Here is a 27092-nt window from a genome sequence, read left to right as displayed (position 1 = left end):
CGCCCCGCAGGGCTGGGCCTCCAGGCGCCAGGAGAGGCGCAGCAGGTTCCCCATCCCCCCCTGGCAAAGCGCGTTCACAGCCCGCCTCTCCGTGGGCTGAAAGAAGGAGGAAGACAGCTGTTTTCTGATCACCTACGTGTGCCAGACACTGGACTGAGTTCCGTGGGTATTCCAGGGAAGGACAGTCACAACTCCTGCCTGGAACTCATAGCTCCTCAGGAGGAATCTGTATTGGTGACTACACAAAGAACTATGACATCAGGTAGCAGGTGGTTAAAAACTGCAGGAATGTTTCACCCGAAGTGGCACTGATTGTTAGAGAAAAGCAGGACACGAACTGTCAGCGGCAGATCCTTACGAATGTTTTTTGTTTGTTTTCTCAGATGAACATTCTGATGCTTAAGATAATCAGGCAAATTCACCAAGGCCATGTAGATGGTGACAGGCGGGCCTGGGGTTTAAACCCCAGCCAGCTGGTCTCCCAGGTCCATCGTTTCCCATTCAGGAGAGGAAGCTGACTGCTTGAGACCAGACTCCTTTCCCTCCACGTACTTGTGCTCTGATGGAGGCTCAGACACAGACCTGGGAGACTCCAGATCATGGCGTTTGTTTCTGACTCCAGTCGCCTCTGTCTCATGGTTCTGGCTTCCTCAACCTACCTGAGGTTTTGTCTGTAAACTGCTCCTGGCCTGCTCACTGTCCCACTCCAGTCCCTCTCCATCCCCAGGCCAACATCCACCCCTTCCAGCTGCCCCAGGGTCTTAGGAGCCAAGGGACAAGAGCAGGAAGGAGGCCTGATTCTTACAGATAAGGAAAGGGAGATGCAGGACGGGCTTCTCCAGTTCTGCTTAAGTTTTTACTCGTTATCCCAGACTGACTCAGGAGTCCCACCCCCTCCCCCTCACTTCTGCAAGCTAGTTCGGATGGTCCTTTCCTACAAATTTCTCTTCCTTGGACTAGGAGACAGGCATCATGGGGGTGGGGGGTGGTAATGGGAGTTGCTGTGTTTCATTTCCATGCAGAGTGTCTGATGCAGAGTAGACAACCAATACATAGTGAATGAATGAATGCATGGGTCATAGATTGGGCTCAGAAGTAGATGTAGACGCCCATGTAAAAGACAGAGGAGGAAACAATGTGGACGAAAAGGTGGAAGGGGTGTGGAATCCCTTAGCCACCAGCATTCTGTAGTCTTCCAAAGAGTACACACCAGGGGTCATGCCACAGCCCCTCCCATGATACTCCCGAGGAAAGCAGGCAACATTTCCTTTCACTTTGCTCTGTGGAGCCTCTGGAACTGGGAGCCTAATGGATCACCATTGCTGTCTGGAGTCAGCCCAGAAAGACAGTCAGTTAATACTATTCTAGGTTCAGTGTAGACCTAGGTCCAGGGACAAGAAAGGGAATGATGAGCTTAGGATTTATTTTAGAGGTGTGCTTTCAGCACGTTTTTAGTCACTCCTTCCCCTTCCCTGCCCGCTGGTGAAGGACCTAGAAGATAAAAGTGTTTCATTAGCACTTTCTCAGCCATGCACCCAGAGTGGGTTGAGCTCTCCTGTCTCACATCTCCTTTGCCACGGGTGCTGTGCTGAGTTGGGGGAAGGCAGAGAGACTGCTTGAAATAATGGCAGCATTCGTATCCCAGAGTAATTTAATAGCATTATCTCATATCATTTTCATGAGCAGTTGATAAGGTTACTGTTGATCTGTTTTACGGATGAGCAAAGTGAAGCTCTGATGAGCTAAACACCATACTCAAGGTCAGGTCATTTAATGACTGTGTGCAGAAATCAGGACTTGGACCCAGGCCTTCCAATTCCAGAGTCTGTCTCTGGGACTAGGGAACACCATCAGGAAGGGAACTGGAATCTGGACAAGATCCTTGAATCCCCAGGCTTTGCCCAGGAAAAGTGGAATCTTCATGAAGAGGTCACTTGGAAGAATAAGACAAGCATCTTGATTGAAATGACACTCAATAGGTCAGGTCTCTTCTCTATTTCAGGCACTATGACTTTAGAGATGTGTTAAAACACAAATATTTTTGTTGGGAGTAGTGTGATGATATTAAGCCAAAGGCTCAGCAGAGTTATTAGCAGACACTGGACCATTCAATGAGCTTGCCATCACTCAGAAACCAGAGAGCAAGACCGTCAGGGAATAGATCTTTAGGTGCAATTTGATGGAGATGCAGGCAGGCTGGGAATGGGAAGGGGATGAGGACAAGTATCTGAGCAGTGAGCTCTGTGAGTGGTGGGATTCGGAAGGCTGCAAGGAGGGCATTCTTAGAAGCTCTCTGAGGCCAGAACCTGGGACTGCCTTATCCTCTCTGTGTCCCCACTGACCTACACAGCTCCTGGTACACGTAGGTTCTCAATATTGAGAAGCAGTAAGTAGTAATTGAGTGTTCCAAGAAGAAATAGTTGAGAGAGAAGGTATGGAAGTAGGAGAGCAGACTGGAAGGCAGCTTTCATGTAGGTGAATTTCACTTTAGGGTTGGAGCCGTGTGAGAGGGAGTGAGGTGGTGTGAACATGTCAGTGTGAGCTGAAGCTCCAGTTTTCTCATAGTGCTTTCTTCACCCCAAAACGGACATTTCCAAAAAATTTTTAAAAGGTTTTGTTGATTTTATTGTTGAATATAAAATTGGGCTGACCCTGGAGTGGGCTGTGATAGGGGTGGGAAAGCTGCTGGGCTTAATGGAGTGCAGACAGGTCCTCAACTGATTTAGGTGAAAAGAAAGGTCTTGATGGGTCTAGAGGCCCAAGGAATAAATACCAACCCTGCACAAGGGAGGCTTGTTTCCACCCAATGCAGACATAATAGCACAAGCAGTGCCAAAGGTCTTCTGGAAATTGTATTCTATTCACTGACATTCTTTAGTTGAAAAAATGGCAAACAATTAGGCCCGATTAGGCAAAAAATATAGGAGATGGGTTATAGAGATGCAGAGATGGGTTATGGAACCCAAGGTCAATGATGCAGCTGAGTTTCAGAAATGACAAGAACTAGGACCCAGAAGGTCACTCACTGGGCTGCTGACCATCTGTTTCCCTCCCTCCCTCCCTCCCTCTCTCTCTCTTTCTTTCTTTCTCTCTCTTTCTCTCTCTCTCTCCATCTCTTCCGCCTCCTCCCCCCTCTGTTTCTATTGGAGCATTGGCTTCTCTTTCTGTATCTCTGCAGGGAAGTTCTCTTTTCCATCAGGCAAAAGGCAGGTCCTGAGATTACTCATTAGATCCTCATGAAGAGAGTGACCACTCCTCTTTCATCAAAGAGAATCTCCTCATCCCAGCCTGTGTTGCTTGACACCCTGGTCCAGTCCACTCTCACTGAGGCTATTGGGGGTTCATTTTTGTGAATAAAGATTGCAGTTCTCAGAGAATAGGAAGTCAAGATCTTTTGGGCTGCTTAGACATCTCGAAGATACTCATTGAGGGTGCTTTCTCAGATGGCTTGGGAGTTTTCTAAATATCTATTTGTCATAATTTCCTATCCAGTGTGCTGGGACTGACTGAAAGGTTGTTATATTCTTAGGTGGGACCAATAGGAAAAGCACATCCAAGATAAAAGTGCTATATTTCCTCTATACTTCTTTGAGTTGCACCACACTTGGGTTAATAGCTCCATTCTAACCATTACCTACAAAGAAGGAGACTGAGAAAGAGAAACAGAGAGGACTAGGAACCATGAGAACAGTGTATACCATGCCCACTGAGGATGAATTACAGGAACAAAGGATATTTTGCCTAAAAAATAGAAGACTGAGGGTGAAATAAAAGTCCTTTTTAGAAAACTAGACAGTGGTTATGAGGAGAGAGAATCCATAGGCTTGGTGAGCAATGTGTGAACATCGTGGACAAGTCAGTTTTGCTTAAGTCCGAGTAGCACGTTTGAGGCAGTTGATCTGCCCACACTGTAATGGGCATTGCCTTAGGAGGGAGTTAATGGCCTATTGCTATGCTACAAGTCTTCTTTAAAAAAAAAATTCAATAGGTTTTTGGGGAACAGGTGGTGTTTGGTTACATGAATAAGTTCTTTAGTGGTGATTTCTGAGATTCTGGTGCCCCCATTACCCAAGGAGTGTACACTGTACCCATTGTGTAGTCTTATCCCTCACCCCTCCTCCCACCCTTTCCCCCGAGTCCCAAGGTCCATTGTATCATTCCTATGCCTTAGCATCCTCATAGCTTAGTTTCCACTTATGAGTGAGAACATATGATGTTTGCTTTTTTATTCCTGAGATACTTCACTTAGAATAATGATCTCCAGTTCTATCCAGGTTGCTGCGAATGCCATTATTTCATTCCTTTTTATGGCTGAGTAGTATTCTATGGTATATACATACACCACAATTTGCTAAGAGTCTTCTTTAAGAGGAGGGTTGATGCTGAGGATGCTAAGCAGAGGAGACTTTGGGGTTGGGGATTTCCAAACCTGATTGATCATGAAATTGGCTAGAGGAGTTTAAAAAATCATAGACTCTTGAGTTGGGGTGGGGAAGAGTCTCCCACAGGTGATTCTAATGGTCATCTGGACTTGGAAACCATTGAATCAGAAGACCTTTAAGGTATGTTCAAATTCGAAATTTTGACAGACTTATCTACAACAAGTGTGGCCCCCAGACTAGCAGCATCAGCATTATCTGGAAACTTACTTGAAATTCCAGTTCTTCAACCCCACCTAAGACCTACTGAATCACAAACTCTAGGGGTGGATTCTAGCTATCTGTGTATTGCTAAATACACAGGTGATTCTGATGCCTGCTCAAATCTGAGCACCACCAATCTTCAGTATTTATTAGTCATTCTATTTTTATTCTATATATTGGAGTCATGAATTCCATTGCATTTACCACCTAATATGTTGTAGCCAGCCTTAAAGGTGGCCACTAGAGAATCCCAAAGGCAAAGCATTCCCTGCCTCCCACTATTTAGGCCCTTGTGTATTTCTTTCTCACATGTTATCAGAGTTAGTCTATACGACCAGTAGAGTACAGCAGATTGATGGTATATCAATCCTGAGTCTAGATTTTGACAGACAAGGCTTCTGTCCTGCTCTTTCTTGGATCACATGTCCACTACTATGTCATGAGAACACTCAGGTATCCCCATGGAGAAGCCCATGTGGAGAGAAACTGAAGCTTCCTGCCAACAGCCATTAGGAACCCAAGGCCTCCAGTCAGAAATTAGGCGACATTGTGGATGTGGATCCTTCAGCCTCAGTCAAGATTTCATATGACTGTAGGACTGGTTGACAGCTTGACTGTAACCTCATGAAAAACCCTGAGCCAGAATCACCCAGCTGTGCAGCTCTTGGATTGCTGACCCTCAGGAATAGATGTCTGAGATAATAAATATTTGTTGTTCTAAACTTCTAAGTTTTGGGTAATTTGTTACATGGCAATAGAGAACTAACACTAAACTCTTATTCTCACATCTGCTCTGATAAATTCCACTCTTGGTCATATAGGTGTTCTGACAGGAGACTCCTCAGAGAATATTTTCACAGCTAGAGAATAAAGTGAAATTTCTTCTTCTTTTTTTTTAAACCGACTTCATTTGAGCCATAAATCTGCCTCTAGCACTGACACTGAAATTTGGTGACACATTGATTCATTCTTGGCATTTTAAATGTGTCTATGATAAAATCCCCTCAGGGAATCCTTTCAGAACCCAGTTGGGAGATATCAGGGGCACTCTTTTAGGTCCAGTAGATGCTTTATTCTGCTTTGGCTGGACATTCTGGCTGGGACAATGCGTCAGCCTGAGGGAGAGGTCACATGGCCTTTTCTAGAGACAAGTCAGAAAGAATGGCAGTTGCAGGGGATGGGGAGTAGTAGTTCAGGCCGGTGATACTTCCCTTCCTGTAAAAGAAACAGAGAGAGAGGCTAATTGGGTCTTAGTCTTTGCATTTTGTATATGTATATGTATGTGCATGCATGTGGGTTGTTCTTTCCATTTACCATCTTGGAAGTCTTCAAAGAATTAGCGTCCACGACCACTGGTCAAACATTATACCTTTTGTTCGTTGCTTTCCCCCTGGTTGGTATTTTCTTGTATGAAAAGGGAGCTACAGAGGAGGGATCACAGAACTGGAGAGAGGGGCAGCAAACATTCTGAGTCTCTGAGGACCAAGGCTAGTCCATGAGAAGCTGGCCTGGGTCTGTGAAGGAGGCCTCAGGTCTCAGCTCTTAAGATTTTCTTCTGGGATTCCAAGACAGTGTCCTCTGCTGCTTCTTTCCACTGGCTGGACTCTGCCTGTCATTCAGGCAGGAGCCACCAGGTGGAGAAATGTGTAGATGACATCCTGGGGACACACACACACACACACACACACACACACACACACACACACAGAGGTTCATTCACAACAAACATTGTACATTTATGAAAGTTAGTTACCATTAATTCTCTCCCGGCCTTTGTTGTCTCATCTTTAAAGTGAAAAGGTTAAGGAAAGTGTTGTGTAATGTCTGTTCTGAATTTCTAGGATTCTATAGTATTGCAGTAATAACAAGGCTTCTTTTACTTTTTAAAAACATATTGCAGGTCCTTAAGGTTATGGGGTCATAGCCATGTTCCCCATTCCTTCCTTTCCCATAGTTTACTTGAGATCTCTCTGAACATCACCTACCACTCAAAGTCAGTTTCCTCAACTTCTTTTTATTTTAAAAATGTCTCTATATTTTCACTTACCTGTTTTTCTTTTTTTATCTCTCTCTTAATTTTGGACACAAACTTTGTGTGCTTTCTTGGATTTCCTCAACTGCCTCTATTTTCTCTCGTTAGGTGCCCAGACAATTCTGAGTTTTCCCTCCTTTTCCAGGCTGGATCACACCATGGGATTTGGTGTTGTGGTGAATGGGGACTGGATGATGCAATCCAGAAGCCCAGGGGGATTTGCTCACTGTTGGGTAAATCTTGATTGGTGGGAAATGGGAGACTGGAGGAAGATGGTCAGATAAATCCTCCTCCTCCTTCCTGCAAATACTTTAAGGTATGATTTCTCCTTGCAAATCCTACAGAGAAGCCCAGCATGTCAAGCAAGCATGTCTCATGAGTGACCTGCTGTATGTCTGTGATGGTTAATTTTATGTATCAACTTGATTAGACCATGGGGTGCCCAGGTGTCTGGCTAAACATTATTTCTCAGGTGTTTCTGTGGGTGTGTTTCTGGATGAGATATGCATTTGAATCAGCTGACTGAATAAAGTAGATTGCCCTCCCTAATGTAGAAGTTCCAATCAATTGAGGGCCTGAATAGAACAAAAAGGCAGAGGAAAAGTGAATTTGCCCTCTGTCTAACTGCTTGAGCTGGGACATCAGTCTTCTACCTTTGAACTGGAACTTACAGCATTGGAATTCCTAGTGGTCAGGCCTTTGGGCTTGGACTGTAGAACTGTATTGCTGGCTTTCCCGGTTCTCCAGCTTGCAGATGGCAGATCTTGGGAATTCTCAGCTCCATAATCACATGAACTAACTCCTTATAATAAATCTGTCTCTCAATGTGTCTCTCTCTGTGCCCCTGCCCCCACTCTGTTCCTCTCTCTCTCTCTCCATGTATAGATATATAGGTCTGTATGTGAGAGATCTATCTCTATATCTATGTATATATCTCTATCTCTACGTTGTATTAATTCTGTTTCTCTGGAGAACTCTGACTAATACAGCATCTTTGCAGCTTGGTGTGAAGTTGCCACTAGGATAGCAATGCGTTTCATCACAGGGCCTTCCATCTGCTTCCATTTATTCCTCACTTTCATTGTCCTGAACTTGCACCCTTCCCCCACATAAAATGTCAGCACTTCAATCCTTGCCTCAGGCTCTACTTTCTATAGGATCTAGGCCAAGACACCTCACCCAGGATGACAAAGTGTCCCTCACCTTTTTAGGCCAATTATGCCACTTGAGTTCTCCTTTTAATCTTTTTCTTCCTCCTCCATATTTTATTAACCATCCTTCCATTGTTTTGAATCTTCAACTTCTCTCTCTCTCTGTCTCTAGATTCTTTCCTCTTAGTCTGTAAACATTCTCAAGTATGTCCATGAAAAGCAAACATTCTCTTTATTAAAAGCATTTAACTCCATCTCTTCATGAACACATTTCTTATAAAAGTGCCCTTACTGCCTCTATTAGTTTTCTAGGGGTGCCATAACTAAGTCCCACAAATTGGGTTGCTTCAGACAACAGGAATTCATTCTCTTGCAATCTTGGAGACCTGGCTTACAAAATCAAGATGTAGCAGGGCCTTGCTCCCTCTGAAGGCTCTAGGGGAGGATACTTCTTTGTCTATTCCAGCTTTTGGTAACCCAGGAGTTCCTTGACTTGTGGCTGCATCACTTCAGCCTCCATCTCCATCTTCTGTCTTCTCTCTGTATGTCTGTGTCTTCACTTGGCATCTTTCTCTCTCTTACAAGGACACAAGTCATACTGGCTTAAGGACCAATCCTAATGACCTCATCTTAACTTGATTACACCTGCAAAGACTTTATTTTCAAATAAGATTCTATTTCTAGGTACTGGGATGAGAATTTTGACATATTTTTGGTGTGTATGATTTAACCCATAAGACCGCCTTAATGTCCTTACTGCTAATTCCTTGGCTTTGTGTAGTTAGGTTTCATTCCACAGGTTTCTCCTTGTATGGTTCCCATGAAGGTCATCAATGCCAAGCTCGATGGCTTTTACTCATTCCCCATCTTTGTGAGTGTCCTGCAGTGTTTGTCATGAATGCCTTTTCCCTCCTTCCTGAAGCTCTCTACTAACCTCACATCCCGGTTACTGTGCACACCTGTGGCTCTTCCTGTCTTTCAGATTACTCCACGTATGCCCTCTTCTCTGACTTTTTCTTCATTCCCCATCTCCAATTCAAGGTTCATTTTTAATGTTGGGGCCTTGGTCACATTCTCTTCTTTCAATACACTATTCTCTGGCCTCCTCCCAACCTTCATGCATCAGTGCTCTCTTCTAAGTAGGGAACAGATATATCTCTCTGGCCTGTTTCCTGAGCTCAGGGCAAGTATTGCCACCAAACAGCCTCAAAAACAATATATCCCCATGTATCCCAAGTACAAGACATCCTCTTTCCTTACACACACACACACACACACAACCACCCCCAACCCCATACTACCATCTATCCATTTTCTATTTTGCCTGTATCTATGTCAGTCTTTGTGATACTGCTCAGAGACTTCTACAGGTACTTGTGGTACTTTGAATGTGGATAGGCCCCTGAAGGAGTAGGTGAGATTAATCCAGTGAATTGTGGCTTATTGCCATTATTGTGACCCAATCTTTAGATTCACCCTATTGAGGCCTAGAGAAGTTTGATCTACACTCGATTCTATCGTCTGAGATACTCAAAGCAGCACCAGAACAAGCATACATATGCAGACAACTTAGGGGTATTTGTTTTGTGGACTGCATATTTGTATACTCCCAAATGTATGTTGAAACCCTAACTACCAGTGGGGTGGTATTTGGAGATGGGGCCTTTGGGAGGCTATTGGGTCATGGGGATGGAGCCCTCATGATGGGATTAGTGCCCTTATAAGATAAAATATGAAACTGCTTGCTTCCTCTCATTCTCATTCTTTCTCTGTCTCTCTCTCTGCCATGTGATGACACAGCAAGAAGATGGCCACCTCCAAGCCAGGAAGAGGGCCCTCATCATGCTCCTGACCATGGTTGTTCCCTTCAGCAGCATGTGAAATAGACGTTTGTTGTTTAAGCCACCCAGTCTATAGTATTTTTGTTATAGAAGCCTGAACTGACTTGACAATTAGGTAGCTCCAGGCCTAGTTTTAGATCAAATGAGGCCGAAGGGCATCCTTGGATATCTTTTCTCTCATAGGTAAATATGTGATCTTTACATTAATTCTGCATTTTTTTTCCCAAAGCCTCTGGTAGAGAGCCTCCCAAATAGCCAGCTTCCTGTAAATGTAGCTGAATGGTGGAATTTGCCTGGCTGCTTCTCTTAGTCAGGAAGCCTGAAAAACTGGCACTAGAGGATCTGTAAATGGGAAGCTGCTGCAGCTTCCTGCAACTCAGCTCCCAGATCCTTCATTCCCTGCCTAGCCAGATAGCATCCTAAGGGTGATGTTTAGGATTCAGCATTAAGGTCAACTCAGGGATGAGCTGCTTTGAATCCTTCATTTCATTGATGGAGGCAGATGTTCTGAGACATTAAGGAACATCCCTATAGTCCCCCAAGGTCTTCTTATATGGCACCTGCCTTTATTTACTTTCTTTTTAGAAAAGATTGCATCATTCTTAGATGGCCATTCCTGGGATGGGCAGAGGGGGCACTCTGTGTGCCCCTTGCCTGCAGTGTGTTGGTGGGAGATACAGTCCCATGGCACATTTTCATCCTGTGACTTTCACCCACAGCTCTGTGGAAATGCTGCCTGGAAGAAAAGCATATCAGGGTACCTTTGGAGAGGTTGTCCTGGGTGGATCCTTAGGGTCTAGAGGTCTCAGCAGAGAGACGAGGGAAAGAAGGAGTGTTCAGGGGTAGTTATGTATTGGGAAATCCAAGCCTTTGTGTGGGTATCTCCTAGTTCATATGGAACCCAAGAATTCTCAACTATTCTCGAGGACTCTGCTTGGACCTTGTAAGGATCCGTGCCTTCCTGGATAGCTGAAACTCGGTGTCAGTCACATTTTCAACAGCTTTTATTGGGTACCCGCCTCTGCGTCTTGTATTGTCATAGCAGTTTACACACAGCAAGCCAGACCAGGAGTGAAGAATTCATGTCATTTGTTATTTTCTTTTATTTGTGAATATGTGTGGGGTTGGGAGACTGGGTGCTAGACATGAGCTGAGGTCCAGGCTAGGCACAGGGAGCTGACAGCTGCAGGACATGCTAATTGGTCTGGGAAGGCCTTTGGAATCTAGGGAATTGGCTTTCTGAGCTGAGGCGGGGTCCAGGCAAGGAGGCAACAGGCTGCAGGAATCACAAAGGGACCGGGGACCTCCATGTACCCAATATCTAGGTCTCATCAGTCGGAGAAACATTCTCAGCTCTTGGTGACCTTGTCCTCCCTCAACACGGTACTCACTGCATATGGACTCATTTGACAATTGCCACAAAGGCTTTGGCCTCAGAGGCACTTTAAGGATATAACAGTAGGAAAGGGAGGCTTGGGGAGCCAGAGAGTCACCCACACAAAGCCCCACACGTGTTCCTAGCAGAACCAGGATACACACCCAGGCTTCCTGAGGCCACATGTCCTCCCTGTGGCTGCCTGGTCATTCCCCTTCACCTAGCAGCTGTCTTGCTCCCATGTAGAACAGCAGGGCCCAGCGGCCACCTGCACCTCGCCATTTCCTCCAGCTCTGTGCTAGAAATGATGCAAGCAGGAAAATCATTTGCTTGTGGACCTACTATGTGTCAGGCACCTGCTGAACAGTAGCATTTGATGCTCTCGACGGCCTTAACAGGTCGGCACTGATCTGTTGATGCTGCAGTCGAGGAGCTTTAGCTTAGAGAGGTTAAATAGCATCCTCAAAGTCACCCAGGTCATGCTCTGCTTCTGGAGGGGCTGGGATGCAGCATGGGAGTGTGACCTCCTGCGCACGGACTGCACGGGCCGCCTCGCAGCCGGCATGGTGAGGTGAGATGAGTTGAGGTAAGCTCGCAGCTCCTTGGTGCCAGCCCTTCCACAACCAGAGCTGGGCGGCAGCAGGCTCTTCCCCAGCTTACCTGGGCAAGAGAGTGAGGACTGCACGGCTGGCGAGTGATACATGGAGAGTGTTGCCGCCTGCCTGACAGGCAGAAGATAAACAGCTCCCCGTTAAATCTCGCTTAATGCTGATATTTATAAATTTATTCAGCTTGTGTTTACCGAATCAAGAGAATGCCTAATAACATAACATGCTTCATCTCACATGTTCCTACTAATGAGAATGCAAGTATTGCTTTTTTTTTTTTTTTAACATTTCATTTGCTTTCCACTCACTCCACCCTGTTCTGTTGTTGTTGGCTTAGAGTTTAATCTGTTGCTAAACACTGGGAAGTCTGGGCTTCTCGGGTGTTAGTGAGGAGAGAGCCAAGGTGGGTCTGGGGCAGTGGCTGGACCAAGGCCTCCAAACTGTGCCCTGTCCTACATGCAGTGCTTGGTGGACATGGAGTTGGCATACCCAAAGGATGGGCCATACTGAGGGAAAATGAAAGTCCTGGTGTCCTCTGCTGTATTTTGGGGTGGCTTCGTGCATTGGGTCAGGGTTGCAGTATTTGGGGGCTTCGGGACAAAAAATTTAGAGTAGAGCAGTGTCCTTGGCTTTGGACAGACAGGAGGATGGACAGAATGACCAAGGAAACATAAGCAACATTTGTGGGGTGTGGTATAGCTGGGTGTGAGGATGAGTGTGTGAGAGGGGTGGAGGGCTCCGTCTCTACCTTTGTTTAATCTGCTTACTGAGTTATTGGTTTTGTTTTTTGTTTTTTTTTAAGAAAGCCTTTCCCTGGCTGCTTATCGCCCCAAGGTCAGCTGTGCTGGCTGCTGCAGGTTCAGTTCTGGGATACCCAGGGCAGTCTTCACCAGGCAGGAGGAGCCATCGGAGTGGGGCAGGGAGAGATGGCAAAGAGATCAGCAAAGCTCATGAGGGTGTTTGGAAATGCATTTGGCAAAGAAGTGATGGTGGAGTGAGATGAGATGGTCTGTGCTGGGCTTCCTTGGGTGGGGTGGGTGGGAGAGGGGAATGAGGGTGCCTGGCCTCAGAGGCCAGGTGGACAATGAGTCGAGTGGGGTTGGGGGGCACCAAGTAGAATTCTGGAGCAGGGAGGAGGAAGGCCGCGGAGAGGCTGTCCAGTGAGGCAGGACCAGGATGGGGGCACACAGGGGACGGGAGAATGGAGGGAGACTAAGTCTGATTCAGGAAAACAAAAACAGAATCTGGGACGAAGCAGTGGAGGAACTGAGACGGGGTGCAGGCCTTCCACAACCTTTCCTTCCCCATCCCACCACATCCTCTGTTTTCCCAGCTCCACATCTTCATACTCTATATCCACCCAGCACTAGATTTTCTTTTTGATGTCTTCTTTTTCTTCTCCTCTCCAACAGCTGTTCCAGTTCCTGCAGGCCACCGCCCAGGAAGAAGGGATCTTTGGTGAGTCCCAACCAGTCAGCCCAGGCTCCTGCAGGCAGTGGTGTTTGCTGGTGGCTGCTGCCCCCTGCCGGACAGTGACAACCCAACTCTAGGAAGGCGGGCTGCAGAGTAGTCTTCTGTCCAGTCGGAGATCTATCCCTCCCTGGGCTTCTTTAAACAAGAGGAGAGAAGCCTGTGCCCAGTGTCTCCCTGTCCTCCCTACCTAGAGCCTTCACTTCTCTCTTCTTTCCAGAGTGTGCAGACCCAAAGCTTGCCATCAGTGCTATCTGGACCTTCAGAGACCTAGGGGTGAGAGGAGCCAGTGTCACCATCTTCTGTCCCCCTGCTCCCACCCCAATAGAGTGGCTCAGGGAAACCCAGCTATGTTCCCATCACCCCACAGGGCTGGCCTGATGGTGCCTCATTAAGACCCTGGGATTTACTTGGTGTCTTCCAGCAATAGACGTGGTGATGGGTTGGAGAAGGTGGGATGGTTTCCTGCCTCTTGGTCTCCCAAATCACTGGCTCATCCTTCTAGGTGGGGTATTGGGGCTGCTTTGAGGCAGCATTTGCACTCAAACACTGAGGCCTAAGGGGTCAGAGGTCTCAAGGCAGGTTTCTGGGGGACAGGCCTGGCCCCTGGGCCATGTGGACACAGTCCCTGTGGTGAGTGCACTCACGGCCCATCTTCCATGGCCCAGGTTCTGCAGCAGACGCCGAGCCCTGCAGGCCCCAGGCTCCACCTGTCCCCTACTTTTGCCAGCCTGGACAATCAGGAAAAACTAGAACAGTTCATCCGGCAGTTCACTTGTAGCTAGAACTGTGAGAAGGAGCCTGTGCTGAGACTTCTGAGCCCCAGAACACAGCTGTGTCCTAGAGCCAGAAGATGGAGAGGAGGCTGCAAACCCTTAGCTATAAATATAATCATTGAGGCTTGATTGTCCCTTGCCATCTCTTGCTTTTTCCCTTCTTTGATGTGATAAACAAGGGGACGACACGAATTGTCTTTTCCCCAGCCCAGCAGCATCTTTTTGGCATATGTGTGTGTATTTGCTCTCTTCTTCCCCAGTCCCACAAAATGCCCCAACTTGTCCCATGAAACAAAGCCCAAAAGAAGACAAACAGCAGAAGCAAAGCTGCTGCTTTGACCTGACGAATTTATTGAAGAGAGCTCTGTCCTTCTCCCTTCTACCGAGAAGAGGCGGCTTGCAGGGCTGGCACCTGTCCACACCTGTCACTGGGCCTTTCCCTGGGCTAGGCTGAGTGGGAGCAGATGCCCTCATCCTATGTGCAGGGCCTGTGCAGGAGCCATCACACCACCTTGTTGATGATGACACCTAGTTCTTCAATCTCACACTGGACTTCATCCCCCTTCTGCAACAGAGCAGGCCATGACAGTGTCAGCCCTTCCGTCAGACACACATACACAAGCCTGTACTTCTCAAGTCTGAGGCAAGCCTGCCAGGCCTTTGGGGCCCTTGCTCTTTGCTTTTCGCTAACCTACCTTGAGAAAGACAGGAGGTTTCCTGAATACACCGACACCTGGGGGGGTCCCAGTTAGGATGACATCCCCTGGGTAAAAGGTAACAAACCTGGATCAAAGCAGAAGGACCCGGTGAGACCAGGGGCTGGCTGAGGTGGCCACAGCCAAAGATGGAGGGCTCAGGTCAGCCTCCACATGTGTGGCAGGTGAAGCGGGGCTGGCAGGACAGCCCCTGTCACTCACTGGGAGACCCAGGCTATCAGGTCCTCTGTCTTGAATACCATCTGGTTGGTGTTGCCGCTCTGGACCACTTCCCCATTCACTCGGCAGCAGATCTTTAAGTTGTGTGGATCTGAAATGCAAAGATGGTACCTTGGAGTTATCCCTTTTCCCCCTCAAACCCCCCAATATTTTACAAACACAACTGTAGGGGTGCTTCGTGACTTGGCAGGTGAAAGGGCTTCAAAGTGCCCACATTGACTCAGTGCTCTATGTTAGAACTTTCTGTATAGACATTGGCCTTCTCAGGCCTCCCCGCATCCCCACCAAGAGCACCAAGCAGTAGTAACAGGGATGGGTTGAGAGGATGTTTCAGACTCTGAAGGGGAAGAGAAAAATGGCTAGGGTTTTTGCCTTGAAAAAAATAAGGGCATCTGTCTACAGCATAGGATGACACCTGTAGATTGACTCAGCAGGGCCAAGCGTGGTGGCTCATGTCTGTAATCATAGCACTTTGGGAGGCCAAGGCAGGCGAGAACTGATTAAGCTCAGGAGTTCAAAATCAGCCTGGGTAACTTAGTGAGTGCTTGTCTCTACAAAAAATAATAAAAACATTAGTCAGGCGTGGTGGTGCGTGCCTGTAGTCCCAGCTACTCAGGAGGCTGAGGCGGGAGAACTGCTTGAACTCAGGAGGTTGAGGCTTCAGTGAGCTGGGATTGGGCCACTGCACTCCAGCCTGGGTGACACAGTAAGACCATGGCAAAAAAAAGACTCAGCATCTATAAAGCAGTGAGGCAATGGTTCTAGCCGGGACAGAGAAGCCTCGTGTACTGGATGCTGGCAGGGGATGGATTACTGTAAGAACATCCTGGCTAACCAGCACTTTTTACTGTTGGTGGTGGTCCTAGTGTTCTACCCCCCTTAAGTAGAGCAGCTGAAACACAATTTAACTTTGCTGAGGACTCTGCATGGGGTGCTGAGGCACTGGGGTCTTTGGTATCCTGGCATGGCTGGCCCATGTGGACACCCCCCACCTCCACCACAGTTGTGGGTGGCTGTGTAAGAGGCTGCGCTCTGCCCTCTGGGGCACTGCCCCCATCCTGGCGCTGTATCCTGACTGTGTGTGGTCAGTGCTGTTCTATTTCCACAGTGGCTGGGTGAGTCACACTGGCTTTCATCTCCTGTAGTGTGGAAAATGCCTTGGCCTTGGGATAACTATGCTCCATGATGCTCAACTTAGATTGTTTCAGAGGTGGCAGCCGCAGGAAGCCCGATCCACCCATCAGCTCAGTGTTCTTTGTAATTTACTTCACGCATGCAGTTTCACATCCTCTGCAGTTGTGTTCCCTCTAGGGGGCTTGGGAAGGAAGCCCATGGGAGAACTCGTGGCTGAGGATAAGAGACTTGCCCTGTATGGAGTCAGCAGTGAAAGGGCGGCCAGGGAGGGCAGGTGCCACATGTACCTGAACCCATGCTCCTCCCTGAAGCGCTGTTCATCTGTGCAATGGTAGGTATAAGGGGGCAGGGACCAGGGACCTACCTGCTACACTGTCCTTGGTCACCAAGGCAGGGCCCAGAGGGCAGAAGGTGTCGAAGGTTTTTCCCAGCAGCCATTGTTTCCCATTACGTCTCATTTGCCAGTCACGAGCACTCACGTCATGAGCCACAGTGAAGCCGGCCACGTGGGCCATAGCATCTGTGGCCTATGGGGGCAGGGGATTTGGCCATACAGGAGGTTAGATCATGGGTGACACCAACACCTATGGCAAGGGATCTCTAAGCTGTTATCCCATGTTAGTAGCCAGAGCCAGCCAAAGGTGGGTGAAGGGAAAGGCAGTGTCAGGGAGCAAGGAGGCTGACTGCTTCCTAGTGTCAGGGACAGCTGGCACCGTGTGTTGGTGAGTGGGGTCAGAACTAGGAGAGGCAGGAGCTGGGGCCTCTGCTGCACTCTGGACTGGGAGCCCACCCTTTCCACCTCACCTTGATGTGCTTGCCTTTCTTTCCAATGACCACGGCCAGCTCCACTTCCCAATCTACCTCCTGTAGGGTGGGAGAGGAACAGTGAGCTGCAGTGGCTTCAGGGCCCACTGTCCATGCTGAGAGGCTGCACACCATGCTGAAGGGCCTCAACCTTTGTCAGTATGGCTTCGCTGCCATCCCATGTTTGCCATCACCACGAACCAGAGCCCAGTGAATGACAAGGGAGGTGTGACTTGTAGACCCATACATTTTGGGCAGTGGCAGACAGCATCATGGGATGCAGGCACAGGTCCCCACACCACTGACTGCAGAAGAGCAACACGTGTCCAGGGCACTGAGTTTAAAAGTCACTCTGGATACTTTTAACAAAGGATAAATACGAAGTAATATCCCCTAGCAATATGTAACCCTACTGTGTGTCAGGCACTGTTCTAAGTGTTTTAATCTATTAACTCCCACAAAGGACTTGAGTAAGCAATTCACAAAAAGGTAACGGACATGGCCACAAAACATGAAGAAATGCTCAGCCTCTCCCATAATCCATAAAATACACTATAAAATAGATATAATTTGGCCTTTAAAATTGGTGGCTCTTTCTAATAATAACCAGAGTTGGTGTAAGTACACCCGACATCCAGATGTTGGTCTCTAATACCACTCCCCACTAAGGAGCACTGGGTTCCTTGGGGAAACGGCCAATTCCAGTTCCAAGACAGACAGTACATGATAAGCCTAGAACATCTTGGCCAGAAAGCTAGGATATACTAAAAGTGACGGGAATGGAGCCAACTTGAAGGCCCCTCACTGGCCAAACTGAGGTCACCTAAAGAATGTAAATGATGAATTACAAACAATTGAGTAAAAACAGAATTCACAGTGATATTGAAGACAGGAATAAAAAGGAGGGAGGCAGCTTTTCTTCATAGAAGAATGCCAGCCAATAAAAACAGAAGGCATGATTGAGAAGTCATTGATCTTGTCTGGGAGTGGTGGGTCACGTCTGTAATCCCAGCACTGTGGGAGGCCAAGTCAGGTGGATCACCTCAGGTGAGGAGTTCAAGACCAGCCTAGCCAACATGATGAAACCCCGTCTCTACTAAACATACAAAAATTAGCCAGGTGTGGTGGTACACGCCTATAATCCCAGCTACTCAGGAGGCTGAGGCAGGAGAATCACTTGAACCCAGGAGGCAGAGGTGTGCTGAAATTATGCCACTGCACTCCATCTGCACAATAGAGTGAGACTCTGTCTCAAAAAAAAAAAAGGTCATTGTTCTCTAACCCCCAGTGCAATAATAGATTCAGTCAGGATGACCACAGGATCCCTGGATGAGATGCTATGGGGCAATAAGATAGTTATGTGATCTCAAACTACCACCCATGGATTGCTTATTACAAAAATAGAAATGCATCTTCACAATGGAGGGACCTAGTGAATGTCAGCTAAACCAAGTGGTCAAATTCTGGGACCACTGACATGAGCCTCCCAGTGGGATACGATGGAAAATGTATAACATCTGCTTTGTAGATCTCTTGATAAAAATGCTTACCCTGACACTAATCATGAAGAAACAACCAGACAAACCCAGAATGTGAAACATGCTATGAGACAACTGGATTCTTCAAGGAAAGGGCAGGGGGTATTGTTTGAGAGCAGGAGTTGGCAAACTATGGCCAGCTCAACATCTGCTATAATCAACTTTGATTGGAAACCCATCATTCATTTCTGTATCGTGGTTTTCACACTATAACAGCAGAGTTGAATTGTTGCAAAACAGAACATATGACACGCAAAGCCTAATATTTACTAATTGGCCCTTGATATGGTTTAGCTCTGTGTCCCCACCCAAATCTCAACTTGTAGCTCCCATAATTCTAACGTGCTATGGGACGGACCCGGTGGGAGATGACTGAATCATGGGGGCAGGTCTTTCCCGTGCTGTTCTCATGATAGTGAATGGGTCTCATGAGATCTGATAGTTTTAAAAATGGGAGTTTCTCTGCACAAGCTCTTTTCTGCCTGCTGCTATCCACCTAAGATGTGACTTGCTCCTCCTTGCCTTCTGCCATGATTGTGAGGCTTCCCTAGCCACGTGGAACTGTAAGTCCAATTAAACCTCTTTTTTTTGTAAATTGCTCAGTCTCGGATATGTCTTTATCAGCAGCATGAAAACAGACTAATACAGCCCTTTAAGAAAAAGTCTATGGAACCCTGTCCTAGATTGAAACCACTAAAGAGATATAACTGAATACAGTGTGTGGCCTTGGTTGATCATGGAGCAACAAACGAAGTAACCAAATTAGAAGTTATCTTTGGGGAAGTCAGCAGTACTTCCGATTGGGAATTGGGGCAATTGGATTTCATATTAAATATTATTCAAGTTAATTTTTTTGGTTGTGATAATGGTGGGATGGTCATGCAAGCCATTGTCCTTATTCTTAGAAGATGCCTATTTACGTTTTTATGACTAAATTGTCTTAATATTTCCAATGTGTTTTAAAAGGTCCCCTCCACCCCATACCCTGCAAAAAAAAAAAAAAAAAAAAAAAATGTGTGTTTGCCATGTGGAGGGCAGGGAGAAGACAAGGGAGAAAAAGGATATATGGCCAAATGTTTACAATGAAACCAGGTGGAAAAGTTATCTGAGTGTTCACTGTATTATTTTCCCAGCTTTTCTATAATTTTCAAGACATTTCTAAAATAAAAATCTGAGAGAAAAAGTAACCAGTGTTAGAAAGGGTATATACACTACTGGTGGATGTGTAAGTTGCTTTTACAATTTTTTAAAAGGCCAATTGGCAGAATTTTTCAAAAATTTTGAAATACTGCCTATACGCTGACATATTTAAATTCCAAAGGGTTTATTCAAAGGAAATAATAATGTATTAATGGACATGCAAAGCCTTTTCCACATAAGGATGTTTACTGCAACATTTATTTATAGAAGCCAAAAACTAGAAACAGTATCCAGCAGTAAGGTACTCAGGAATAAACTAATCTACATAACAAACTCCGTGGTGTCAGGGCGAATACTTAATGGCATGAAAAAATGCTCCTGATGGAGTCTTAAGTAAAAGGTAAGTATATGTACAGTATAAACATATACAGGAGCGGAGAAACACTGGGAAGGTAGACAGAAAAACATTAATATTCCGAGCCATGGGCAGTGGGATTATGGGTGACATAATTTTTTAATGTTTATCTCTATTTTATTATCTACAGTGAAGGTGCATTGCTTTTGTAACCAGGAAAACACGTACATTAACTTTTTTTTTCCAAGGCCAGTGTTACTACTGTGTGTACAATCCTGTAGAGTTTCTGCTGAATGCGCTATTGAGCGAGAGGTGGCTCCAGTAGGCTCAATACTGAGCTCAGAATGCCCTTGTGATGGGCCCAGTGACTAGGGAGGGCAGTGGGGAGACACTGACCTGGCTCTGTGGTGGGAGGACCACCTCATCATAGGGCCCCACGATGGAGCTGGCAAACTTGCTGAAGATGATGGGCTCCTTGGGCACGGGCACGTTCTGTTCTTTGCAGTGGTCCACATAATTCATGCCCACACACACCACCTTATCTGGTCGTGTGACTGGAGCCAGGAAGGTTACCTCCGACCGTGGTAGGACTGGCAACTGGGCAGCCAGGGCTCTGTAGAGACCAGAGCAGGTGAGAGGGTCTGGCTGGGAACAGGTGGGCAATCCCGGGCAGGCTGGGCAGATCCTGCAGCAGCTACAGGTTTTGCTTTTTGAAATCTATTTCCTAGCTCTATCAACCATCAGAGTCAGTGTGAAAATCACTGACTATTGTCCTTTGCTATCAGAGCAGGGCTTTTATTTATCCAGTGTTGATTTCCTCTCCCCCTTAGGTAACTCATGTCCATGTAAAAGATACAAACTGGAATACATGGAAAGGTTTCCCTTTCCCCTTCCGGTTACCCCGTTCCCCTGGCTCTTCGCAGCTACTCTATGGATATTCTTCTCCCACCCTTTTGTATGCAAATGATAGCATACTATTTACATCTTTTAAAAAAACAACTGATTTTGGAGATCTCTGCTTAACAATATGTAACAATACATAGAGAGTGTCCTCTTTATTTCTTGTGGCTGCATATTACTGCTCTATAGAGATATACCCAAGTCCCTAATGAGGGGCATGGAGATTTCCAGTCTTTGCAGAATATGGCAATATGGGAACATACTGTTAATACTGTGAGCTGTGAAACATTTGTATTTTTTTCCATTTTAATAGATGAAAATGACATCTTAAAGTATTTTTAATTTATTGTTCATCAGCTCCTTAGACCAGATTCTATAGGGGTCCAGGCTTCAGGGACACTCTCACCTAATCTAGTCCAAACCCAGGAACCAAGTGTCTTATAGAAAACCTCCTTGCAGTCCTCTCTCCTTGTAGGAGCTGGGAGTCTATATCACTCCCCCAGCTGCATAAGATGCCTTTTAGGACCCCCGGGCCCAGACCCGTCAGTCAGTCCAGGACTTCATTCCCAGAGGAGGCAGTGTGATGAAGTATAGAGTCCTGGTTCCAGCACCACATGTATGGCCTTCAAATTGTTAATCACCTCCCCTAGCTCTCAGTTTTCTCCTCTGAAAACTGAAGATGTTATTATGTAAGATTTCTAAGGATCTTTTAAGAGAACGGGAGAAAAGGAAAGGTGGGGTTACTCTGCTCCCTTGCAAAAGAGCTACCTGCTGGTGCTGTTTCCCAGAGCGGGGAGGGTGCAGGGGGACCAGGGCAGCTGCTTCAGGGCGATGCTGCCCACTTACTTACCTTCTTGCCACTGAGAGGGTGGCCTCTCCCTGCTCTAGGAACTGCGTCATCGTCTTCGGGAGTGTGGGGTCAAAGGCATTGAGGTTGATAACCCCTCCACCATTCCCTGTCTCCAGGCCCAAGTGAGGCCCCACCAGGTGGGGTGCCCGGAACTGCACTAGTCTCATGTCTCTGGAGGGTTGAAAGGGCCACTTCTGAGCCTGCAGCAGAACTGTGAGTAACCTTCTTCTACCAGACACCAGCATCAGAGCCTGCAGAGAAAAATGCAGGATCCAGGAGACAGAGGATCCCAGAGCCATCATCAGGTTCCCTGAAATTCCTAGGGCTATAGCCCGAGGCCCTTTGCCCCATCAACCGTTCCCTGCATACCACACGGGAAGTGGTCCAGGCTTGTATTTTACCTGCTATACTTCATAAGGTGAAACTTTTCTAGAGGAGCAACTACTACATGCTACGCAGTAAGTCCCAGGGATTCCAGCGTTCCTTCAACCAGTGCTTTCTGAAAGTTCCCACTGTGCTTGGCTCTGCTGTAGGTATTGGGGAAACAATGTAGGTGAAACTCAGCCCTGCCATTCTCCCTGCACAGGTCACAGATGTTAACAACTGACGTAAGATTCAGCTATCAGGACTAATGCTGTGAAGATGGTCAGGGGCTCTACCCTTCTCTAGTTTCTGGAGGAAGTGATGTGAGCTGAGCTGGGCTAAATGAGCAGGACCAGGAATTAGCTGGGTGGCAGCCCAGCATGGGCAAGTGACGCTGGTGAAACTGGCTTCACAGTGGCCATAAACAATTTTTTAAATGCTATTTTGGTCCTGTTAACCTCCTACTTAAAATGGTTTCCACTGCTCACATGATCAAGCTAGAACCTCTACCAGGCTGTCCCAGTCTTCTAGGAGCAGCGCCCCCACCTGCCTCTCCAGATAATAATTATTTCGTTTCTCCTGATAGAGAACAAGTTGCCTGAGGGAAGAGGCTGCAGACAAACAACAGGGTCTGGGCCTGACAGCCATCACTTGTCATCTCCCTGGGTCCAGGGCACATGTCTGTCTCTTTCACTGCCCAGCACTGTGCCTGGTGCACAGAAGGCTCTCAGTGACTTTCTGCTGAATGAACAAATAAGTGACAGAAGCAGGGGCTTGACATTTCACTACTTGGGAAAGCTTAGTGCTTGTTAACTTCAGGAGACATGGCTGTGCCTTCCCACAAGGGCCAGTTGTAGTGGCTCATGCGTGATATCCCTAACAATTTGGGAGGCCGAGGTGGGTGGATCACTTGAGGTCAGGAGTTCAAGACCAGCCTGGCCAACGTGGTGAAACCCCGTTTCCACTAAAAATACAAAAAACTCGCCGAGTGTGGTGGCAGCCACCTGTAATCCCAGCTACTAGGGAGGCTGAGACACGAGAATCGCTTGAACCCAGGGGAAGGAGGTTGCAGTGAGCTGAGATCGCGCCACTGCACTCCAGCCTGGGTGACAGACGAAGACTCCATCTCAATTAAAAAAAAAAAAATCCTCAGGGCTCAGATCCTGTTTTGAGTCCAAGGCTCCACTTAAAGACAAACACTATTCTCTTGTTTTGTTCTTAATCCACGTCTGGCCTCTATTCCTTACCACATGGTGCCTTCCCTGAATGGTTCCTTGCTCTTACAACAAAGGCGGTATTGTACAGCCTTCTATGCCCAAAAATGTGGAGGCAGCTGATCCCCAGACTCTTGGTCCTCACCTGGAGATTCAATCTGCCTTGTTCAGTTGAAGATTCATTAGACTTAGGTCACCACTGTTGTGGCCCACCAGTTTGACTAGAAAACCGAGGGCTTTGACTTCTCTGCCCTGCTGTCTTACACAAGCACCAACTGTGCCACTGTCAAAAGGCTGTTCGAGCCAATGTGCACACACTCAGACACTCCACATGCTAACATAACAGTAACTGCTGCCGCTGAATGCCAACTATTAAGTGCTCTACCTACAATGTCTGATTTAATTCTCGACAATTGTGGAAGGTAGGTACTGTTAGCCTCATTTTACAGATGAAACAATTAAGGCTTAAAGAGGTTAAGAGATTTGCCCAAGGTTACACAGTCCTAGAGCTAGGAGAGGAAGGAGCTGGGATGTGAATCCAAGTCCAGGTGACATGAAGTCCTTGGTTCAGAAGCTTGTAATGCAAGCAAAAAAATCCAGCTTCAGCCCCCATCCCCCTACCAAGGCCATTTTAACCCAGAATGTTGTGGTGAGAAGTGGGGACCTTCCATAGGAAATCCTCCAAAGTCTCTAAAGATTGTAGTGAGAAGTAGGGACCTCCCACAGGAGATCCTCCAGAGGCCGTAACTGCTAACAGACATGCGTGGGGAAACTACAGGCGCCCTCTGGCTGTTGCCTCAGGGACGAGGCTGGTTACCAGCTCTCCAAGAGAACCCCAGGCCCCACTGACTGTTCCCTTCCCACATGACACACACATGCAGGTTCATTCCAACCTTACAGCAATCTCCTCAGGTAGAGCGCCCTCACTTTAAAGAAGAGGACACTGAGACTCAAAGGGATGATGTCAGGTGCCCAAGGTACTAGTCAGAAAGTGGCCCTGGGGCTTCTGCAACAACCACTATATCACACAGCCCGAGCTCAATCCAACTCTGCAAGAGTCCATAAGCAAAGGGGCGGCGACATGAGGTGGAAACAGTAGCCTCCATCAAACAAAGCCTGAGACATGGGTGTGCACGTCGGATTCCATCCCACCGTCCACTCGCCTGGAACCCGTGCCGGTCCCCCAGTTTCCCCATATGCCCAGCTCCAGCCCCGACAGTTAGTGAGTGCTCACACAGGTCCGCCCCGTCTGTGTGGTCAGAAGCGGCTGGGGATCCGGTACTAGTTCTGCGCTCCGCGGGAGACCGGCGCCACGGACACCCTTCTGGCCTAGACCCAGCCAGGCTCGTCCTACCTGGCCGCGGCGGCCGATCTTCCTGCGCTGTAGGGTTAGAGCTCGCGGGGCCGAAGGTCAAGGGCGGCGGGCGCCTGAGCACTGCCACCAGTGACCGCAGCCAGCCGGGGAAATGCAGCAGCTGCTAACCCAGGGCCACTCGGCCGGATCACCCGAGAGAAAAGCGGGCGCGATCCTGTGACGTCACAGGCAATGGCCACTAGCAGGGCGCCAATCCCGGAGGGGCGGGCCCATCGTGGGGCGGGCGGCTCCGGCGGGTCTTCAGGCTACGGGTTCAGCCAGGCGCCAGCCGCGTTCTCTGGAGACGCTCTCTCTCGGAGGGACCCTGCACTTGCCTGAACTCGAGAGTGGGCGCTGCCCGAAGGTTTGTCCCTGGGCGCTTCGCTGGCCTCATCCGGTCTCGGCCTTGTTCTGGGCCTGGCGCCTTTCCCATTGTTGGGGAAAGTGGTCTAGGAGACCAAGGCAGCGTGCTGGGTGGCAGAGAATGATTTGTGGCTTCTGATTCTGACATATGTCGTTGAGGAGGGGAGGGATGACTGCCCCCGTTTTACTTATGGAGAACCTGGGGCCAGAGCTGTTTTCCCAGGGTGACACAGGCGGTGAGTAGTGGAGCTGGCATTCCTGACCCCAAAGCGCAGCGTTTCCCAGCCACTCTCCGCAGCCAGGCCTTCACCTGCACTGCTGGGCGCAGGTGGGGAAGTGGGGAAACGGGACTCCATCCCCTGCAGAGGGCAGGCGTGTAGGGAGTGGCAGCTGAACTCCACAGACAGCTACTGCTCAGCTCTTCAGCTGCCGACTTTGAACAGTGTGAGGGGCTCTGTACAAGTGGCCCCCACATTACTCAAGGACCAGATCATCAAGAGCTTTACTTGTCCCACGAAGGAGTCTGGACCTTGTTTACGTGCACAGGAGACCGCTGGAAGGTTCTCAGTGGCGTGCCATGTCCCGACTTCTATTTGAGAAGTTTTTCTCTGGCCACCCGTCTGAGGAAAGGTGTCTGGGTGGGTGGTGCGGTTGAGAACAATGGTGGTGCGGTGCGTGGTGGAGAAGGTGAGTGTCCAGAGATGTTCAGGAGGAAGAACTGACAGCTCTGAATGACAGGAGGTGGAAGTGAGAAGGAAGGAGGTACAAGGCCAACTCCTGGGTCTCTAGCTCGGTAGGTGCAGGGCCGTTCATGGAGACAGGGCTCCTGGAGGAGCAGCGGGTCTGGGGAGAGGATGGTGAGCTCCGATTTGCATGGGACATCCAAAGGGCATTGAACGGTGGGCAGTTGGAGACATGGGTCTGGAGCTTGGGACTTCAGCCTAGCTTGCAGAAGGTCACCACAGATATTGAAATGGAACCTATGGGGGTGGCTGTGATCAGGGGGATTCGCTGAGGAGAACCTGGCACAAGGGTTTCACTAAGCCATAGCTCCCAAAGACTTTCTGAAAAGCTAAGTTACAGCCTGGAAGAAAATATCTGTAAAGGCTATATTTGATAAAAAGACTTGTATCCAGAATATAGAAAGAATGCTTAAAAGTCAGTAGATAAAATCAAACAATTCAATTTTTTAGATGGACAAAATATTTGAACTGACATTTCATCAAATAAGATATACAGACAGAAAATTGGGACATGAAGGCTGGGCGCAGTGGCTCACGCCTGCAATCCCAGCATTTTGGGAGGCCGAGGCAGGCGGATCACAAGGTCAGGAGATCGAGACCATCCTGGCTAACACAGTTAAACCCCATCTCTACTAAAAATACAAAAAATTAGCCGAGCGTGGTGGTGGGCGCCTGTAGTCCTAGCTACTGGGGAGGCTGAGGCAGAAGAGTGGCGGGAACCCGGGAGGTGGAGCTTGCAGTGAGCCGAGATCGTGCCACTGCACTCCAGCCTGGGCGACAAAGCAAGACTCTGTCTCAAAAAAAAAAAGAAAGAAAAAATTAGGACATGAAAAGATGCTCAACATCATTAATCATTAAGGATATGCAAATTGCAAGCGCAATGTGACACCATCTCACACCTACTAGAATGGACAAAGAAGACTGATTATACCAAGTACTGGCAAGAATGTGGAGGACCTGGGATTCTTGTACACTGCTGATGGGATTATAAAATAGTACCACCACGATCGAAAACCATTTGTCAGTGTATGAAGAGAATTAAACATACACCTACCATATGATGTAGCCATTTCAATCCTGACTATTGACAGTATTGAATTTTACCTTAGCCCTTTGCTTCTAGAAATAGTGAAGGTTAAGGAATCCCACCACTCTTTTGTTCCAGAAAACCCCCTACTGGAAAGAACCAGTGACTTTCTATATAACCTGGATAAGACTCCCAGATGCTCCCTTGTTTATCTGTGACCAGGCCAGACACAGACCCTCTAAATTCCCATTCTTGGCCTCATAAATGATTAGCTGGGCTGCTTGTCCCACAGATCAATAAGAACAAAAGCCTGTAACCAAACCTTGGTTCAGATTCTCTCCTTTTCCAAGCCCTTGAGCTTTGGCCCACCCACAGCTTGTGCCAACCCGCAGCCCTCCTGAGGTTCCCTCCTGAGAACAGGCTGTCCGCAGGGTAAGACCTCCTCGATCGTGACACTCTTGCTCAGCCCACTTTCC

General features: G+C 47.8%; 1 protein-coding gene across 17 annotated transcripts, besides 7 other annotated features; it reads right to left on the bottom strand.

The window, feature by feature from the left end:
* Nucleotides 1-5699: 5699 nt before the first annotated feature.
* FAHD2A (fumarylacetoacetate hydrolase domain containing 2A) lies at nucleotides 5700-24648 on the bottom strand. 17 transcript variants are annotated; one of them, XM_011511284.3, is made up of 10 exons: nucleotides 24364-24648; nucleotides 21954-22079; nucleotides 21553-21803; nucleotides 20199-20415; nucleotides 16770-16829; nucleotides 16330-16492; nucleotides 14814-14922; nucleotides 14592-14679; nucleotides 13311-13390; nucleotides 10740-13074 (listed from the first exon to the last, which is right to left on the bottom strand). In XM_011511284.3, the coding sequence occupies exons 3-10, from the start codon at nucleotides 21795-21797 to the stop codon at nucleotides 13017-13019; spliced, it is 1020 nt and encodes a 339-aa protein (XP_011509586.1). In that variant the 5' UTR covers nucleotides 21798-21803; nucleotides 21954-22079; nucleotides 24364-24648; the 3' UTR covers nucleotides 10740-13016. The 17 variants fall into 17 exon arrangements, 16 of the variants coding, with proteins under 16 accessions (XP_011509586.1, XP_011509585.1, XP_011509587.1 ...); XM_011511283.3 differs by having other exon boundaries at nucleotides 24484-24648; XM_011511285.3 differs by having other exon boundaries at nucleotides 21954-22076; nucleotides 24484-24648.
* Nucleotides 11047-11547: an enhancer, noted in NCBI's record as "H3K4me1 hESC enhancer chr2:96081557-96082057 (GRCh37/hg19 assembly coordinates)". NCBI's record gives its function as "activates a minimal SCP1, AML or CMV promoter by ChIP-STARR-seq in naive H9 embryonic stem cells {active_cell/tissue: H9 hESC(naive)}" and the evidence as "EXISTENCE:reporter gene assay evidence [ECO:0000049][PMID:30033119]".
* Nucleotides 11548-12048: an enhancer, noted in NCBI's record as "H3K4me1 hESC enhancer chr2:96081056-96081556 (GRCh37/hg19 assembly coordinates)". NCBI's record gives its function as "activates a minimal SCP1, AML or CMV promoter by ChIP-STARR-seq in naive H9 embryonic stem cells {active_cell/tissue: H9 hESC(naive)}" and the evidence as "EXISTENCE:reporter gene assay evidence [ECO:0000049][PMID:30033119]".
* Nucleotides 23740-23859: an enhancer, noted in NCBI's record as "active region_16186". NCBI's record gives its function as "activates an Ori minimal core promoter by ATAC-STARR-seq in GM12878 lymphoblastoid cells {active_cell/tissue: GM12878}" and the evidence as "EXISTENCE:reporter gene assay evidence [ECO:0000049][PMID:35858748]".
* Nucleotides 24000-24938: an enhancer, noted in NCBI's record as "H3K27ac-H3K4me1 hESC enhancer chr2:96068166-96069104 (GRCh37/hg19 assembly coordinates)". NCBI's record gives its function as "activates a minimal SCP1, AML or CMV promoter by ChIP-STARR-seq in primed H9 embryonic stem cells {active_cell/tissue: H9 hESC(primed)}" and the evidence as "EXISTENCE:reporter gene assay evidence [ECO:0000049][PMID:30033119]".
* Nucleotides 24930-25009: an enhancer, noted in NCBI's record as "active region_16185". NCBI's record gives its function as "activates an Ori minimal core promoter by ATAC-STARR-seq in GM12878 lymphoblastoid cells {active_cell/tissue: GM12878}" and the evidence as "EXISTENCE:reporter gene assay evidence [ECO:0000049][PMID:35858748]".
* Nucleotides 24930-25878: a biological region, named in NCBI's record as "H3K27ac-H3K4me1 hESC enhancer GRCh37_chr2:96067226-96068165".
* Nucleotides 24939-25878: an enhancer, noted in NCBI's record as "H3K27ac-H3K4me1 hESC enhancer chr2:96067226-96068165 (GRCh37/hg19 assembly coordinates)". NCBI's record gives its function as "activates a minimal SCP1, AML or CMV promoter by ChIP-STARR-seq in primed H9 embryonic stem cells {active_cell/tissue: H9 hESC(primed)}" and the evidence as "EXISTENCE:reporter gene assay evidence [ECO:0000049][PMID:30033119]".

The sequence above is a fragment of the Homo sapiens genome, chromosome 2, assembly GCF_000001405.40.
Source record: "Homo sapiens chromosome 2, GRCh38.p14 Primary Assembly".
Lineage (NCBI taxonomy): Eukaryota > Metazoa > Chordata > Mammalia > Primates > Hominidae > Homo > Homo sapiens.
The sequence above is the reverse complement of the archived record's forward strand: the minus strand, read 5'-3'. Positions and strand labels throughout refer to the sequence as shown.

Excerpts from the sequence above, each read along its gene's own strand:
- FAHD2A (XM_011511284.3), bottom strand. The coding sequence starts at position 21,797 with ATGCTGGTGTCTGGTAGAAGAAGGTTACTCACAGTTCTGCTGCAGGCT. Across the intron at positions 14,680-14,813 it reads CTGATAGCCTGGGTCTCCCA|GTTTGTTACCTTTTACCCAG; the intron begins GTGAGTGACAGG and ends GCTTTGATCCAG. Across the intron at positions 13,391-14,591 it reads AACCTCCTGTCTTTCTCAAG|GTCTCTGAAGGTCCAGATAG; the intron begins GTAGGTTAGCGA and ends TCTCACCCCTAG.